This window comes from Homo sapiens, chromosome 14, assembly GCF_000001405.40.
Source record: "Homo sapiens chromosome 14, GRCh38.p14 Primary Assembly".
Classification (NCBI taxonomy): Eukaryota; Metazoa; Chordata; class Mammalia; order Primates; family Hominidae; genus Homo; species Homo sapiens.
The window spans coordinates 59,373,429-59,392,958 of record NC_000014.9 but is presented as its reverse complement, the minus strand read 5'-3'; positions in this window follow the sequence as shown (position 1 = coordinate 59,392,958).

Below are 19,530 nucleotides of genomic sequence, written 5' to 3'. Positions count from 1 at the left end.
CAAAAGAATAGGAAAAAAATAATAAAATGATTTGTACCATGTTGAGTAGCTGGATTAAAAAAATTATATTTGCAGATGATACGATCATATACCTGGAAAACTCTAGAACTGGGGTCAGCAGGCTATGACCTGCAGCCCAAATCTGGCCCACTGCTTGCTTTTATAAGTAAAGTTATATTGGAACACAGTCATACCCAATCACTTACATATTGACTATGACTGCTTTTGTGCATAAATGAAAGAGTGAATAATTGTGACAGAGACTCCTTAGCACTCAAAGCTGAAAATATGTTCTATCTAGCCTATTATATAAAAAGTTTGTCAACTCCAACCTAGAAGAGAAATGATAAAAATAATTCAAATAATAACAAAATCCAGCAAGGTATCAAGATATAAAATTAACGTGCAAAAATCAAGCTCTCATATATTCAAATAATGACAAGGTAGGAGATATAATGAAAGAGACAACTTTTATAATAGCAACAAAAATGATAACACATATAGGAATAAACTTAACAAAGAATTTTCAAAACCTATATGAAGAAAACTATTTAAGACTTGTGAAAGACAGAACAGAAGAACTGAACAATTGAAAAGATGTCTCTTATTCTTGGTTAGGATGTCTCAACATTATTTAGTCATAAGTTAACTTATAAATCTAATGAGATCTCAATACAAATGCTAGTAAGCTTTTTAATGTAGCTAGACAAGTTGATTCTAAGTTCTATATGGAAAAGTAAACACATAAGAATAACTAGGAATGCACTTAAGAGAGGTGGTCACCAGATATTACAACATATTACAAAACATCTTTAAGTACAACAGTATGATACTGGAGCATAAATAGATTAATGGAATAGAACAGAAAATCCAGAAATAGATCCAACTACATATAAAAATCTAATATATGATAAAAGTGGTCTCTCAAATCACTGGAACAAAAATTGTATTTTTAGTAAACAGTGTTGGGACTACTAGTTTGTTGTATATTTTTCTGAAAAATATAAAATTAGGCACATCCCACAGACCTTATTCAAGAATAAACTCCAGCCTGGGCACGGTGGCTCATGCCTGTAATCCCAACATTTTGGGAGGCCGAGGCGGGTGGATCACTTGAAGTCAGGAGTTCAAGACCAGCTTGGCCAACAAGGTGAAACCCTGTTTCTACTTAAAAAACAACAACAACAAAAAAAAAACTAGCTGGGCATGGTGGCAGGCGTCTGTAATCCCAGCTACTAGGGAGGCTAAGGCAAGAAAATCGCTTGAATCCAGGAGGCAGAGGTTGCAGTAAGCAGAGATAGTGCCACTGCACTCCAGCCTGGATGACAAAGCAAGACTTCATCTCAAAAAATAAATAAATAAATAAATAAATAAATAAATAAATAAATAAACTCCAAATGAATTATATATATAAATTTGAAAAATATAACCATATAATAACTAGAAGAGAACCTGGGTGAATTCCTCTTTAACCTCAGTATAAGAATTAGCTTTCCAAGTACAGCAAAAGAGATTGGTAAACCCTTTTTGAGGTGACAAAAAAAAAAAGATTGATAAACCTGACTACACAAAACCACCAAACTTTTATATGGGAAAAAACAACCTAAACAAAGTCAAAGGCAAATGACAAACTGGGAAGAAAGTCTTCACTATATATATTAAAGTAAAAAGATCTAATATATTATTTATAAAGAACTCTTAAAAATTGAAAAAAAATACCAAAAATCCCATAGAAAAGTAGGAAACAGGTACAAAGAGACACTTTTTAAATTAAGAGATGTTAAAAATGGTCCTTAAACATAAAAATATACTTAATTCACTTATAAAAAAGAATTGCAAATTAAAACTTCATTGAGATATGTCTTATCCATCAAATTGACAAAAATTCACAAGCTTAGCAAGGCTATGAGGAAAGGTACACTTATACATTGATAGTGGGAATGCAAAATTGTACAATGGTACCTATGAGGAGAATGTAGCAATATTTAAAAAGAGGACATGTGTACCCATCTACTCTTTGACCTAGTGATCTCACCTCTAGAAATTTATACTGGAAATATACTTCCACCTATAATAAATAGATATGCACAAAGTTGCTCATTGCAAAGTTGTATGTAATTGGAAAATATTGAAGAATGATTGAATAGACTATGAAAATACTATGAAGTACTATGCAACCTTAAAGAGGAATGAGGATGAAGATCTTTATGATTGAATGTGGGCTGATTTCCAGCAGATATTATAAAATATAAAAACTCACTGCAAAAGAATATATGTAATATGCTACCTTTTGTACAAAAGCATAGGAAAGCTAAGAAAACATATATATTCATTTATATTAATATAAACATATACATATATACATACATACATGCATTCATCATTACACAAGAAACAGGAAGAAAAAAAAGAAAATACTGAGGTTGGATACTTACAAGGCAGGATGGTAGAGTGGGGATGAGGGTAATGGAGAGGAAGAAAGACAAGAAAGAATGAAAGTTCTCTGAGTATACCTTTTCATGCAGTTTTGACTTTGAAAGTACAATCATGTGCCGCATAATGACATTTCAATCAATGCATATACAATGGTGGTCTCATAAGTTTATAATGAAGCTGAAAAACTGCTATTACGTAGTGATATTATAGCTGTTGTAACATAGTAGTGCAGTTACTTTATTTTTTATAAATGTAATGTAGCCTAGATATACAGTGTTTATAAACTCTACAGTAGTGTACAGTAGTGTCTGAGGCCTTCACATTCACTCACCACTTATTCACTGACTTGCCCAGAGCAATTTCCTGTCCTGCAAGCTCAATTCATGGTCTTACTATGTTTCCCAGGCTGATCTAGAACACTTGGCCTCAAGCAATTTTCCTGAATCAGCCCAACAAAGCACTGGGATTATAGATATGAGCCACTGTGCCTGGCCCCAGTTATCTTGTATATCATATTTTTTACTATGCCTTTTCTATGTTTAGATACACAGATACTTACCATTGTGTTACAGTTGCTTCCAATACTCAATATGGTAACATGCTGTACAGGTTTGTAGCCTAGGAACAATAGATTATACCATATAACCTAGGTGTATAGTAGATTACACCACCTAGGTGTGTGTAAGTATATGCTATGATGTTTGCACAATGATGAAATCACTTAAAGACCCATTTCTCAGAATGTATCTCTGTCATTAAGGGATGCATGACTGTATGTTACTAGCCTACATATTTTAAAAAATCAAATCAATCAATAAGAATGGGAAGAGGTGGAACAATATGGCCAAATAGAAGCCTCCACCAATTGTTCTCCCCACAGGGACACCAAATTGAATGACTATCCACACAGAAAAGTGTCTTCATAAGAACCAAAATCAACAACAACAACAACAACAACAACAACAAGAACCAAAACCCAGGTGAGCAGTCATAGTACCCGATTCTAATTTCATATCACTGAAGGAGGCACTGAAAAGGGTAGAAAAGACAGCCATGAATTGCTAATGCCATCTCTCTCCCATCCCTTGGCAGCATTTGCACGGTGCAGAGAGAGAATCTGTGCACTGAGGAGAAAGAGTGCAGTGGTTGTGGGGCATTGTATTTCAACTTAGTGCTGCCCTGTCTCAGCAGAAAGCAACACAAGGCAGAACTCAGCTGGCACCCATGGAGGAAGCATTTAGACCACCGCTAGCCAGAGGGGAATCTCCCATCCCAATGGTCAGAACCTGAGTTCCAGCAAGCCTCACCACTGTGGGCTAAAGTGCTCTGGGGTCCTAAATAAACTTGAAAGGCAATGTAGGCCACAAGGACTGCAATTCCTGGTTAAGTGTTGGTGCTGTGCTGGATCTGAAGCCTGTGGGCTTGGAGGGCACATGAATTAGTAAGACAACAGTGGGGGCAGCCAAGAGGGTGCTTGCTCCACCCCTTCCCTAACTGCAGGCAATGCAGTTCACAGCTCCAGGGGAGACTCCTTCCCTCTGCTTGAGGAGAAGAGAGGGAAGAGTAAAAAGGAGTTTGTCTTGCAACTTGGATATCACCTCAGCCACAGTAGGATAGAGCACTAGGTAGAGTCCTGAGGCCCCCATTCCAGGCCCTAGCTGCCAGATGACATTTCTAGACATACTTGGGCTGAAAGGGAACCTGCTACCTTGAAGGGAAGGACCCAGGCCTGGCAGGATTATCTGCTTACTGAGGAGCCCTTGGGCTCTGAATATTCAGCAGTGGAACCCAGGCAGTACTTGCTGTGGACCTTGGACAAGATTCAGAGAGGTACTGGCTTCAGGTGTGAAACTGTACATTCCTAGCTATGGTGGCTCTGAGGAGGGACCCTTTCTGTGGAGAAAAGGAGAGGTAAGAGTAAAGGAAAATTTGTCTTGCAGCATAGGTACCAGCTGGGCCACAGTTGGATAGAGCACCAAGTGGGCTCTTGGGGTACCCAATTCTAGCCCTTAGCTCTTGGACAGCATTTCTAGACCTGCCCTGGGCCAAAGGGAAGCTCACTGCCCTGAAGGGAGAGTCCTTGGCCTTGCAGCATTTATCATAAGCTGGCTAAAGAGCTCTTGGACCTTGAATGAACATTGGTGGTAGCTAGGCAGTACTTGCCATGGGCCTGGAATAGTACTGGCCACAGGGAGAGACTCCTCTGCTTGTGAAAGAAGAGGAAGGGCTTTCTCTTGTGGCTTGGGTGCCAACTCAGCAGTAGTAGAATAGAGCACCAGGTAGATTCCTAAGGTTCCCAACTTCAGGCCCTGGCTCTGGGATGGCATCTCTGGATCCACCTGGGAGCAGGGGAAACTGACTGCACAAAAAGGAAGGACACAAGCCTGGCTGGCTTCATCACCTGCTGATTGTAGAGCCTTAAGGCCTTGAATGAACATAGGTGATGACCAGGTAGTGGTTACTATAAGCCTTGGGTGATATATGCTGGCTGCAGTTCTGACCCAGCACAGTCCCAGTGGTGGTAGACCACAGGGGTGCTTGTGTCATTCCTCCCCCAGTTCCAGGCAGCTCAGCACACACACACACACACACACACACACACACACACACACACACACACACACACACACAGAGAGAGAGAGAGAGAGAGAGAGAGACACTCCATTTGTTGTTTGGGAGAAAGCAAGGAAAGAGAACAAGAGTCTCTGCCTGGTAATCCAGAGAATTCTTCCAGACTTTATCCAAGACCACCAAGGTGGTGCCTCTACAAATCTATAAGAGCCACAGCATTATTGGGCTTGGGGTGCCCCCTGAGGCATATATGGATACAGTACCCCCTGAGGGGCACTTATATCTCACTTAGACTTAGATCACAACACTCACTTCCCTTTGAATAATTGGAAAGCCTTCCCAAGAAGGACAGGAACAAAAAAGGCCAGACTGTAAAGAGTACAAAAAATGCCTAACTCTCCAATGTCCAGAAACTGATGAACATGCACAACCATGAAGACCATCCAGGAAAATATGACCTCATTTAACAAACTAAATAAGGCACCAGTGACCAATCCTGAAGAGACCAAGAAGTGTAATCTTTCTGACAGAGAATTCAAAATGACTGTTTTAAGGAAGCTCAATGAAATTTATGATAACACAGGGAAGGAGTTCAGAATCCTATCAGAAAAGTTTAACATTGAAAATAATTTAAAAGAATAAGGCAGAAATTCTAAAATTGAAAAATGCAATTGACATCCTGAAGAATGTATAAGTATCTTAACAGCAGAATTGATCAAATAGAAGAAAGAATTACTGAGCTTGAAGATAGGCTATTTGAAAATATGCAGTCAGATGAGACAAAATAAAAACTAAAAAAGAATGAAGCAATCCTGCAAGGTCTAAAACATAGCCTCAAATGGGCAAACCTAAGAATTATTGGCCTTAAAGAGGAGGTAGAGAGATAAATAGGGGTGGAAAGTTTATTCAAAGGGATAATAACAGATAACTTCTCAAACCTAGAGACAAATATCAATATTCAAGTTTAAGAAGGTTATAGAACACCAAGCAGACTTAACCCAAATAAGACTACCTCAAGACATTTAATAATCAAACTCCCAAAAAACCAACAATAAAGAATCATATAAGCAGAAAGATAAAAGAAACACATAACCTATAATGGAGCTCCAATACATTTGGCAGCAGACTGTTCAGTAGAGACCTTATAGGCCAAGACAGGATAGTAGCATGACCTATTTAAAGTGCTGGGGAAAAAACCTTTAATCCTAGAATAGTATATCCAGCAAAAATATCCTTCAAACATAAAGGAGAATGACTTTCTCAGACATACAAAAGACTTGTCCTACAAAAAATGCTAAATGGAGTTCTGCAATCTGAAAGAAAAAGACATAGATGGGCAATAAGAAATCATCTGAAGGTACAAAACTCACTGGTGTTAGTATATGCCAGTATACAGAATATTATAACACTGTAATTGTGGTGGGTAAATTACCCTTATCTTGAGTAGAAAGACTAAAACATGAACCAATAAAAAATAATAATTATGACAACTTTTCAAGACGTCGGCATGTAAATAGAAACAACAAAAAGTTAAAAAGCAGGGGTACAAAGTTAAAGTGTAGAGTTTTTATTAGTTTTCTCTTTGCTTGTTTATTTCTTTATGCAATCAGTATTATGTTGTCATCAGTTTAAAATAATAGGTGATATTATTTGCAAGCCTCATGGTAACCTCAAATTAAAAAAACATACAATAGATACACAAAAAATAAAAAGCAAGAAATTAAAACATACCATCAGAGATAATCACCTTCACTAAAAGGACGATAAGAAGAGAGGAAGGAAGAAAGAGAAGACCACAAAACAACCAGAAAACAAATAACAAAAAGGAAGGAGCAAGTTGTTACTTATCAATAATAACATTGAATGTAAATAGACTAAATTCTCCAATAGAAAGACAGAGTGACTGAATGAAAAGAAAAAAAAAAAAACAAGACCCAACAATTTGTTGCCTACAAGAAACACACTTTACCTATAAAGACATACATAGATTGAAAATGAAGGAATGGAAAAAGATATTCCATGCAAATAGAAACCGAAAACCCAGCAGTAGTTGCTATACTTACATCAGACAAAATAGATTTTACAACAAAAACTATAAAAAGAGACAAAGAAAGTTATTACATAATCACAACAAGGTCAATTCAGCAAGAGGATATAGCAATTGTAAATATATATATATGCACCCAACACTGAAGCACCCAGATATATAAAGCAAATATTACTAGAATTAAGGGGAGGGAGACCCCAATACAATAATAGCTGGAGGCCAGGTATGGTGGCTCAAGCCTGTAATCCCAGCATTTTGGGAAGCCAAGGCAGGTGGATCACTTGAGGCCAGAAGTTTGAGACCAGCTTGGCCAACATGGCAAAACCCTGGGTCTACTAAAAATACAAAAATTAGCCAAGCGTGGTGGTGTGCACCTGTAGTCCCAGCTACTGAGGAGGCTGAGGTATCAGAATTGCTTGAAACCGGGAGGCAGAAGTTGAAGTGAGTTGAGATCACACTACTGCACTCCAGCCTGGGCAACAGAACAAGACTTCATCTCAAAATAATAATAATAATAATAATAATAATAATAATAATAATAATAATAGCTGGAGACTTCAACCCCTCACTTTCATCATTGGAGAGATCATCCATATAGAAAATCAGCAAAGAATCGTTGAATTTAATCTGCACTGTAGATCAAATGAACCTAACAGATATTTACAGAACATTTCATTCAATGACTCTAGAATACACATTCCTCTCCTCAACGCATGGATCATTCTGAAAGACAAGACGATATGTTAGGCCACAAAACACATCTTACATTTTTTTAATTTAAATTATATCAAATGTCTCATCTGACCACAATGGAATAAAACTAGAAATCAGTAACAGCAGGAACTTTGGAAACTATGCAAACACATGGAAATTAAACAATATGTTCCCAAATGACCAGTGGGTTAATGAAGAAATTAAGAAGGAAATTAAAAATTTCTTGAAACAAATGATAATAGAAACACAACATACCAAAACCAATGGGATGCAATGAAAGCAGTACTAAGAGGAAAGTTTTTAGCAATAAGCACCTATATCCAAAAAGTAGAAAAACTTCAAATAAACAACCTAACAATGCATCTTAAAGAATTAGAAAATCAAGAGGAAACCAAACTCAATCTTAGTAGAAGAAAAGGCGTAATAAAGTCTAGAACAGAAATAAAAAAATTGAAGTGAAGAAAAGAATATGAAAGGTCAATGAGACAAAAGAAATGGTGTTCTGAAAAGATAAAATTCACAAATCTTTTGTGAGACAAAGAAAAAAGAGAGAAGACCCAAATAAGTAAAATCAGAGATGTCAAAGGAGACATTAAAACTGATGCTGCAGAAATTCAAAGAATCACTGAGTTTAGAGGCTATTATGAGCAACTATATGCCAATAAATTGGAAAACATAGAATAAATGGATAAGTTTCTAGACACATGCAACCTACCAAGATGAAGAAATACAAAACATAAACAGACCAATAACAAGTAAGGAGATTGAAGTCATAATAAAAAGTCTCCCAGAAAGGCAAAGTCCAGGACCTGATGGCTTCACTGCTGAATTTAACCAAACATTTAAAGAATAATTAATACCAATTCTAGTCAAACTATTCTGAAAAATACAGGAGGTGAGATATTTTCAAATTTAGTATTACCCTGACACCAAAATCAAACAAAGACGCATGAAAGAAAGAAAGAAAGAAAGAAGAAAGAGAGAGAGAGGAAAGAAAGAAAGAAAGAAAGAGAGAGAGAAAGAAAGAAAGAAAAAGAAAAAAGGCGAGGGGAGGGAAGGGAGACAGGAAGACAGGAAGACAGGAAGGAAAAAGGGTCAGGTGTGGTGGCTCACGTCTGTAATCCCAGCACTTTGGGAGGCCAAGGCAGGTGGATCACCTGAGGTCAGGAGTTTGAGACTAGCCTGGCTAACATGGCGAAACCCTGTCTCTACTAAAAATACAAAAATTAGCTGGGCTTGGTGGCACACACCTATAATGCTAGTTATTCGGGAGAATCACTTAAAATTGGAAGGTGGTCGTGCCACTGCACTCTAGCCTGGGTGACAGAGTGAGATTCCATCTCAAAACAACAACAACAACAACAAAAACCATATGATCATTTCAACTGATGCCGAAAAAGAATTTTATAAAATTCAACATCCCTTCATGGGGAAAGCTCTCAGAAAAGTGGGCATAGAAAGAATATACCTCAACATAATCAAAGCCATATATGACAGACCAACAGATAGTATCATATAGAACAGGGAAACATTGAAAGCCTTTTCTCTAAGATCTGGAACATGACAAGAAAGTCCACTTTAACCATTGTTATTCAGCATAGTACTGGAAGTTCTAGCTAGAGCAATCCAAAAACAACAAAAAAGAAATAAAGGGCATTCAAATTGGAAAGGAAGAAGTCAAATCATTCTTTTTGCAGATAATATGATCTTATATTTGGAAAAACCTAAAGATACAATGAAAAGACTATTAGAACTGATAGATACAGTAAAGTTGCAGGATATAAAATCGACATACAAAATCAGTGGTGCTTACATATGCTAACAGCAAACAATCTGAAAAGATATCAAGAAAATAATCCCATTTACAGTAGCTACAAATACAATTAAATGCCTAGAAATTAACCAAAGAAATTAAAGATCTCTACAGTGAAAACTGTAAAACATTGATAAAGAAATTGAAGAGTGCACACACACACAAAAGGAAAGATTCCATGTTCATGGATTGGAAGAATCAATATTGTTAAAATGTCCAAACTACCCTAAGTAATCTACAGACTCAATGCAATCCCTTTCAAAATACCAATGGCGTTCCTCACAGAAATGGAAAAAATAATCCTAAAATTTATATGGAACCGCAAAAGACCCAGAATGGCCAAAGCTATCCTGAATAAAAAGAACAAAACTGGAGGAATCACTTTCCCTGACTTCAAATTATACTACAGAGCTCAGGTAACCAAAACAGCATGGTACTGACATAAAAACAGACACATAAAAACAGAGGGAACAGAATAGAGAACCCAGAAACAAATACATACATCTACATTGAACTCATTTTCGACAAAGATGCCAAGAACATATATTAGGGAAAGGACCATCTCGTCAATCAGTGGTGCTGGGAAAACTGGATATTCATATGCAGAAGAGTAAAACTATAGACTCTTGTCTCTTGCCATATACACAAATCAAATCAAAATTGATTAAAGACTTAAATCTAAGACCTCAAACTATGAAACCACTAAAATAAAACATTGGGGAAACTTTCCAAGACATTGGTCTGAGCAAAGATTTCTTGAGTAATACCCCACAAGCACAGGCAACCAAAGCAAAAATGGACAAATAGGATCAATCACATCAAATTAAAAAGCTTCTGCACAGCAAAGGAAATAATCAACAAAATGAAGTAACAACCTGCAGAATGGGAGAAAATATTTGCAAAATATCCATCTGACAATGGGTTAATAAGCAAAATATATAAGAAGCTCAAATAACTCCATAGGAAAAAATCTAATAATCTGATTAGAACATGGGCAAGAGATCTGAATAGACATTTCTCAAAAGAAGGCATACAAATGGCAAACAGGTATATGGAAAAGTGCTGAACTCTTTGATCATAAGAAAAATGCAAATCAAAACTGCGATGAGATATCTCGCCCTAGTTAAAATGGCTTACATCCAAAATACATGCAGTAATGAATGCTGGTGAGAATTTGGAGAAAAGGGAACCCTCGTATACTGTTGGTGGGAATGAAAATTAGCACACTCACTATGGTAAACAGTATAGAGGTTCCTCAAAAAAACAAAAATTGAACCACTATATGATCCAGCAATCCCACTGCAAGGTATATACCCAACAGAAGGGAAATCAGTATATCAAAGAGATATCTGCACTTCCATGTTTATAGCAGCACTATTCACAATAGCCAAGACATGGAATCAACCTAAGTATCCATCAATAGATGAATGGATAAAGAAAATATGGTGGCCAGTAGCAGTGGCTCACGCCTGTAATCCCAGCACTTTGGGAGGCTGAGGCTGGTGGATCACGAGGTCAGGAGTTCAAGACCAGCCTGGCGAAGATGGGGAAACTCTGTCTCTACTAAAAATACCAAAATAAGCCATACGCAGTGGCGGGTGCCTGTAATCCCAGCTACCTGGGAGGCTAAGGCAGGAGAATGACTTGAACATGGGAGGTGGAGGTTGCAGTGAGCTGACATCATGCCACTGCACTCTAGTCTGGGCGACAGAGCAAGATTCTGTCTCAAAAAGAAAATGTGGTACATATACACATTGGAGTACTATTCAGCCATGAAATGGCCATGTCATTTGCAACAACATGGTTGAAGTGGAGATCATTATGTTAAGTAAAATAAAGCAGCCACATTTTGGAGATAGAGAGTAGTATGCTGGTCACCAGAGGTTGGGGAGGGTAGTCTGAGGGGAGGGGAGTGGGGATGGCTAATGGATACAAAAATATAATTAGATAGAATGAACAAGATCTAGTATTTGATAGCACACAATAATTGTACATTTAAAAATAACTAAAAGTATAATTGGATTGTAACACAAAGGAAGGATACATGCTTCAGGTGATGGATACCTCATTTACCCTGATGTGTTTATTATGTATTGTATGCCTGTATCAGAATATCTCAAATACCCCATAAGTACATACACCTACCATGTGCCTGCAAAAATTAAAAATTAAAAAATCAGTAAGAGTTAGAAGGGAAAACCTGACTAAATCTGAAAGCAAATGGAAGCAAATTAATCTAAGTGCATTTTTTTATGGTTACTATAACCATACTGAAGAGGGAGGACAAAGAAGAAAGAACAAATCCAAGTAACTTATGAAGAGTTTTTAATTATATAATCCTTGTTCTGGACCAGAGTGGAATGTGGGGAGGGGATGCAGAAAGGGGAAGAAGTATGAACAAATTCTGAACTTTTTTTAGTAGGTTAGTTTTTAGTAGTGTTACACAAGAAACAATTTTGAAACTCTTTTAGATTAATATAGAACTGAGCAAATGACTACATGTGTCGATGTGTTGGGAGTTAGGATTCTCACTGTGAAAGAAGGAACATACAAATATAGAATGGGGTAAGGCAAGGAAGAATGCTGTAGGGATGGGGTAGAATTTGAGGTATCAATGTGAACTCATCATTCCTAAAACGTGTATGCGTATGTGCATGTATATATGTGTGTGTTTATATTTGTGTGTACATTATGTGTATATCTACATATATACATTTTCTCCCTCTGTGGAAAATGTTAGAAGCAAAGTTAATCTTGATCTTTAATACCATTTTCCACTAAAAGGCATCAGAGTTCCTTGGAGAAGTGGCTGACTCCACTACCCTGTGGCAGGGTAGTTATAAGATAAACCTGGAACCTTTTGTTATGCCAGACAGTGAGAAAATGCTTTTCTAAAGATGGGGGCATATGAGGACACAGGAGAAAGCTTGAAAGGGCTCTGCCTGGTCAAATCTGGAAGCATTTGAGCATAAAATAATTAAGAACATGAATGAATTATAAACTCCTGGGGGAGAAATTCACAAGCTGAGGAATTCATGAGCCCGTACTCATAATAGGTAAATTAATTAATGAAGGAGGTGAGCGGGAACTTGCTTACTGTAGAATGCTGAGGACCAACTGGTAATTGTGGAGAGAGTGTTGGAGCTAAACAATCATGATTTGCAGCCATCATAGTAAAGATTGGTTTAGACAAGAATCATCGGTGGATGCTAAATCTAGGATAAATTTTAGGTGAGGAGCAGACCACGTGTTAATTGTAAGAACGAAAAAAAAATCATGTAAATCTACACAAAAGAAATTGGGCAACACCTTGACGGAGTGATCAAAATTTATATCACCTATGGGAGACAGATGAAAATTGTGTGTCCCAAGATAGGACACCCTGATACCACCTATGCTATATTCCAGCGGAGAATGTGTAACTTCAAACTAATGAAAAGAAACATCAGACAAACACTAAACAAGGAAAATTAGAGTTTAAAAAAAGATGGGAGGGAGGACTTGTATTCCTTGGCTCATGGTCCCTTCGCATCTTCAAAGACAGCACTCACATTACTCTCACCTCTGTTTCCATCCTCACGTCTCCTTCTCTCCTTCTCTCCTTCTCTCCTTCTCTCCTTCTCTCCTTCTCTCCTTCTCTCCCTCTCTCCCTCTGACTCTCCTGTCTCTTTCTCATAAGGCTCCTTGTGATTACACCGGGCCCACCTGGATAATCCAGGAGAATTAATCTTCCTTTCTCAAAATCCTTAACCTTGTCACATCTGCAAAGTCCTCTTTGCCATATAAGGTAATATATTCACAGGTTCTGGGGATTAGGACATGAACATTTTTGGGGGGCCATTATTCTGCTTACATTCGACTATAATTAAAAAATGTCAATATCATGAAAGACAAAGAAAGCCTAGAGAGCATGAGAGGTTACAGAAATATGACAACTAAATGCAATACCTGATTTTGATTAGATCTTTTTCTGGAGCAGGGGAAACGCTATAAAGAATATACGTTAGTATATCAACTGACATAATTGGAACATGGATGGTATGATTAGATAAATGTATCAATATAAATTTATGAAGTTGATACATGTACTGAAGTTGTATAAGAGCATATCTTTATTCTTAGGAAATGTACACTGGAGTATTTAGGAATTGAGAGCCGTGATGTATGTAACTTACTCTCAGATGGTTCAGAAAAAAATTATGTGTACACGTACACACAAAGGAAGAGCAAGAGAACAAACGATGAAGTAAATGAATACAAGTTTAAAAATCAGTTTTATCTATAGAACAAAAAAGTGTATCTGGAAAAGTAAAAGGTGTTCGTTGTGCTATTTTTATTTTTGAAATGTTTTGTGAGTTTGAAATTATAAATAAAAAGGTTTTTTTTTTTAAATTGTGTATTCAAACTTCTACATACCCCTGAACTTTGTACAACATCCCTGATGTGATAGATGGTCACCCCATCTTGGGCATTCAGTCTAGAGATGTGGACGTCTCTAAGGAAAGGGTACTCAGTATCTTATTAGGCAGCCTGTTCAATCGCTAATTTTAGGAGTTTGAAATTTCTCTATGGCTTAAAAAAATGAAATCAATTGGTTGGTGACTTTTACCCATTGATTGTCACCCTGGCTTCTGGTGAAATACAGAATACGTTTTCTTTCTTTTTAAATATTTGAGAACAGCTGCTATATTTTTGTAATAATTTATTTTGCAGGCTAAAAGTTTCTTGTCAGTAGATGCTTCTGAGTCTGTCTATAAACCTGCTCACCAGGATGCAGTTTCATTTGTCAGCGCTGCTCTTAGAACACGGTATCCATGAGAACACAACACTCCAGCTGTGCTCACGCCAGTGAGGACAGCAGTGGGCCCATCCATTTAGTTTGATTTGTTCCTTCCTCCTCTTCCAACCACACTCTTCCTAGGTCACCACAACGGCCTCTACAGGGTAAAGCCATGTTAATGTTATACATTGATTTTATGACAAAATCAAGGCATTGTGGTTTTAGTGCAGCCCAGATGAGTCCCCGAGGATCAGCGTTACCACAGCTACCTGGTAAAAGGAAACCCTGGAATGAGCCTCATTACTGCTGTAATATAATGTGCTCTAAGCAATTGCCCTTCCACCTTTCCCCTTCCCAAACAGCCAGGGCAAGAAGCCCGAGTTCTTGGCTGTAACTGATAAACAGTGTGATGAGAACAGTTTGTTTAATTCTCGTTAATGAGTTGGCTGCAGTAAATTCCCAGCAACTAAGGACTGAGAACCTCAGAGGCAGGGCTACAGCATCCTTCAATGGGAAGTTTTAGGGCTGCTCTGTCCAGCTTCTAAAGTGTGAAGCCAAGATGTGTGGGAGACTGACCGAGGGTCACAGCTCATGTCTGATAGCAATACAGACAACTCTGGAACTTGGGTCCTAGTGTGTTGCTTAGCTGTTGGTGCAAGACAACAGAATAGGCAGATGGGAATTTGGGAGCCACCTTTTGTGGTGTGTACTTTAATGGCTGTAGATAGTTTCTGGATTGGTCAAGGTCTCCTTTACACAGTCCAGTGGGGGAGAAGTCAATGCCAATTGTCCTACAAGCATTACATGACAGAGGATTCTCTCCCTATTGCATTAATTCTTTAGCAGTGAGCCCGGAAAGATAGTAGGGCCCGCAAGACCCCCTCCTAGCAGTGCCTCTAGCAGACATTGGAAGCCAGCTTTTAGTGTGAACTCACCAGCCATAAAAATGTCAGGCCACTGAACAGCTGCGGCTCTTCAGGGTCAAATAGCTCACATTCAAGGCAGAAAGAGAGGACTGTTTTCTGTAAAAGGCATTTTAAGAGAATTCCTAATAATGAGGTCTTCTGATGGGAGAGTAACTAATGAAGGTGGTTTGAGGGAAGGAAGAAAGGGAGGTTGGGAAGGAAGGAAGTTGAGAAGGAGGGAGCAAAGTCTTTTCCTGTGAGCCTTGTAATGACAGTCAGCTTGCAAAAATTATCTTAAACTTGAAATCCAAAAGGCTTATAATCTGAACTGCTTGAGAGTGACTAGCTCACTAGTGACAAGCCCTCCTTATTATTTCTTCCCTCTGGATCCTCAAAAGTTAAGATATGAATATTAAGGTCCTATTAGTCTAAGAGTTAATCAGAGTGTTTTAGGGATGGGGCTGATGTCTTGAATGGTGGCAGTCTGCATGGAAGTCCAAGGAAGTATTGTGAAAAGCCATCCCATAGAGCTGTTTTATCGAGATATATCCAGATGTGAATAAACTGGAAAAGCAGAAAGCATGGAAAGTTACCAGAGGGAGTTTACCTGAGGCAGCCGGTATGTGCAAAGGAGTAGGATGACTTGGCCTGATTGGGTGGGAAGGTTTCTTGGCTATGTATATTGGGACTTTTCTTTCTTAAGTAGACTTTATATTTTAGAGCAGTTTCAGGGTCATAGCAAAACTGAACAGATGGTACAGAGATTTCCCACATACCTCCCGCCCCCATACATGTGCAGCCTCCCCTATTATCAACATCCCCAACCACAGCTGTCTATTTGTTACAATTGATGGACCGACACCAACACCTCATTATCACCCAGAGTTCATAGTTTACATCAGGGTTCACTCTTGGTGTTATATATTTTATGGGTTTGGACAAATGTAAGATGACATGTAGAGAGTATTTTCACTGCCCTGAAAGTCCTCTGTGCTCTTCATACTTATCTCTTCCTCCTCCTGTCCCCTGGTAACCACTAATATTTTCCCTGCCTCCCTAGTTTTACCTTTTCCAGAGTGGAATCATACACTATGCAGCCTTTCCATATTGGCTTCTTTCACTTGGTAAGATGCATTTAAGACTCCCATGTCTTTTCACGGCTTGATAGGTCATTTCTTTTTAGCACTCAATAATATTCCATTGTCTAGATGTACCACAATTTATCAGTTCACCTACTGAAAGACATTTTGGTTGCTTCCAAGTTTTGGCAATTATTAATAAAGCTGCTATAAACATCTATGTGCACATGTTTGTGTTGACATGAATTTTCAACCCATTTGAATAAATTGCTGGATTGTATAGTAAGAGTATGTTTAGTTTGATAAGAAACTTCCAAACTGTCTTTTAAAGTAGCTGTACCATTATGCATTCTTACTAGTAATGAATGAGAGTTCTTGTGGCTGCATATCCTCTCTGGCATTTGGTGTTGTCAGTGTAGTGGGTTTTGGCCCCTCTAATGAGTGTGTAGTGATATCTTGTTGTTGTTTTAATTTGCCTTTCCTTGATGACACATAATGTGGAGCATTTTTTCATATGCTTATTTGCCATCTGTATATCTTCTTTGGTGAGGAGGCTGTTCAGATCTTTGGCCCATTTTAAAAAATTGAGTTGTGTTCTCATTGGGTTTCAAGAGTCTTTTGTATATTTTGGACGACAGTCCTTTACCTGGTATGTCTTTAGCAAATATTTTTTTAACAGTCTGTGGCTTGTTTTATCATTTTCTTGACTGTGTCTTTTGCAGGCCATAAAAGTTTAATGAAGTCCAGCTTATCAATTCTTTCATGGATTGTGCATTTGGCGTTGCATCTAAAAAGTCACTGTCAAACACAGATGACACTGCCAATGTCATCTAAATTTTCAATTTTCTCTTATCTCCAGGAGTTTTGTCATTTTGTTTAAGTCTGTGATCCATTTTGAGTTAATTTTTTGTAAAGAATGTGAGGTCTTTGTCTAGCTTTATTGTGTTTGCATATGGATGTTCAGTTGGTCCAGTATTATTTTTTGAAAAGACTATATTTGCTCCAGTCTTACCTTTGCTCCTTTTTAAAAAAATCAATTAATTATATTTATGTGGTTCTATTTGTGGGTTATATTATTAGTCTGTTTTTTCACCACTACCACACTGTCTTGATCACTGTAGTTTTATACTATGTCTTGAAGTAGGGTAGAATCAGTTTCCCAACTTTGTTCTTTTCCTTCGATATTGTGTTGGCTTTTCTGTATCTTTTGCCTATTTATATAAACTTTAGAATCAGTTTGTCAATAAAAACAAAGTAACTTGCTGGGATTTTATTGGAATTGCATTGAATCTATAGATTAAGTTGAAAAGATCTTGACAATATCATATCTTCCTATCCATGAATATGAACTATCTCACCATTTACTTGGCTCTTCCTTGATTTCTCCCATTAGAGGTTTGTTGTTTTCCTCATATAGATCTTGTACGTATTTTGTTAGATTTATACCTAAGTATTTCATTTTGGTGGTGTGCTCATATGAATGGTATTGTATGTTTAATTTTCAATTCTACTTTTTCTTTGCTGGTAAATAGGAAAACAATAGACTTTTATGTATTAACTTTGTATCCGGCAAACTGATTTTCCTAAGCTGCTGGTAGTCACTCCTTTCCTCCCCCGTTTTTTTTGTTTTTGTTTTTTTTTTTTGGGACAGAGTCTCGCTCTGTCGCCCAGGCTGGAGTGCAGTGGCACGATCTCGGCTCACTGCACGCTCCGCCTCCCAGGTTCACGCCATTCTCCTGCCTCAGCCTCCCCAGTAGCTGGGACTACAGGCTCCCGCCACCACACCCGGCTAATTTTTTTGTATTTTTAGTAGAGACGGGGTTTTACCGTGTTAGCCAGGATGGTCTCAATCTCCTGACCTCGTGATCCGCCTGTCTTGGCCTCCCAAAGTGCTAGGATTACAGGCTCCTCCCCTGTTTTTGTCTTCCCGTGTCCTTGCTCAGCATCACAGTCATCTCTTCAGACACCTCCTCCCATCCTGGAAGAGTCAGGGTAGCTCTCAACTTAATTTAACTTAGGAAAGGTTTTCTACGCTGGAAGTGATGGTGAGGATATTAACAAGAAATGCTCATGATTACATGAGGGATTGCAGATTCCTTTGCCCAGAAACGTCCTCACATGACCATAATGGGTGCGAATGAGATGGGATAATGATACTGAAATCAGTACCATTAAACCATTTCCTTTCTTCCTTCTCCCAGCAAAAGAGCAAGAGAATCATAAAAAACAAATGCTTTATTCAAACAAAATAGAAAAAAATCATACGTAGGAAACTTTTTCCCACGAAAAACGAAAACATATTAAGGTTTGATACAAATAAGGATCTCCTTTGTCTGAAAACCCTGGGGTGCAGTCCTGTGCTCATTTGTTTGTTTGATACCATGGAAACATGCAGTTGATTGCAGTAGATAAAAGCATGTTAGGGAAGAGACCAAAGGGCAGGTCTGACATTTTCCACAGGATTCAGATAAAAAATAATTCTGATTGGTATTTGCTATGGAAAACACAAAATCCTTATAAACAAGAAACTTGTTCCTCCATGGGCCCCAAATTTTCTCAAACATAAATAATTCATAGGCAGGACACGCTGGCCCATGCTTGTAATTCCAGCACTTTGGGAGGCCAAGGTTGGAGGATTGCTTGAAGCCAGGAGTCTGAGAACAGCCTGGGCAATAATATAGTGAGGCACTGTCTCTGAAAACATTTTAAAAATAAAAATAATAAGAAAAAAGAATTCAGATTTTAAGTCATCTCTTAATTATAGGCTCAACAGGTTTTTAGACTTCAGTTATTATCAATAGAGGCAACAGGGATATAGATACTTAAAACAGTATATAGACCACACAGAAAATAAGCACATAACTCAACACAGTGATGGTTTATAAACACCCCATGTGAGAAGCCCTAGACCCCTGAATTTAATTCTCTCTATATAGTCTAGTGGTTCTCAAAGATATTGTTTATGGAACTAAATGGTATCAAGTAGCTGTTAAGCCTTGGAAGTTGCTAAATTTAGGTTTTCCACTTTATAGGAAACAGCTGATGTTATTAAAAAACAAAAACAGTCACAGAAAGTTTTACCTTCCAGAACTCAGCCTTTTGAACACAGTAATGCATCACATAACGACGTTTTAATCAACCATGAACTGCATATATGGTGGTGGTCTCATAAAATTACAATGGAG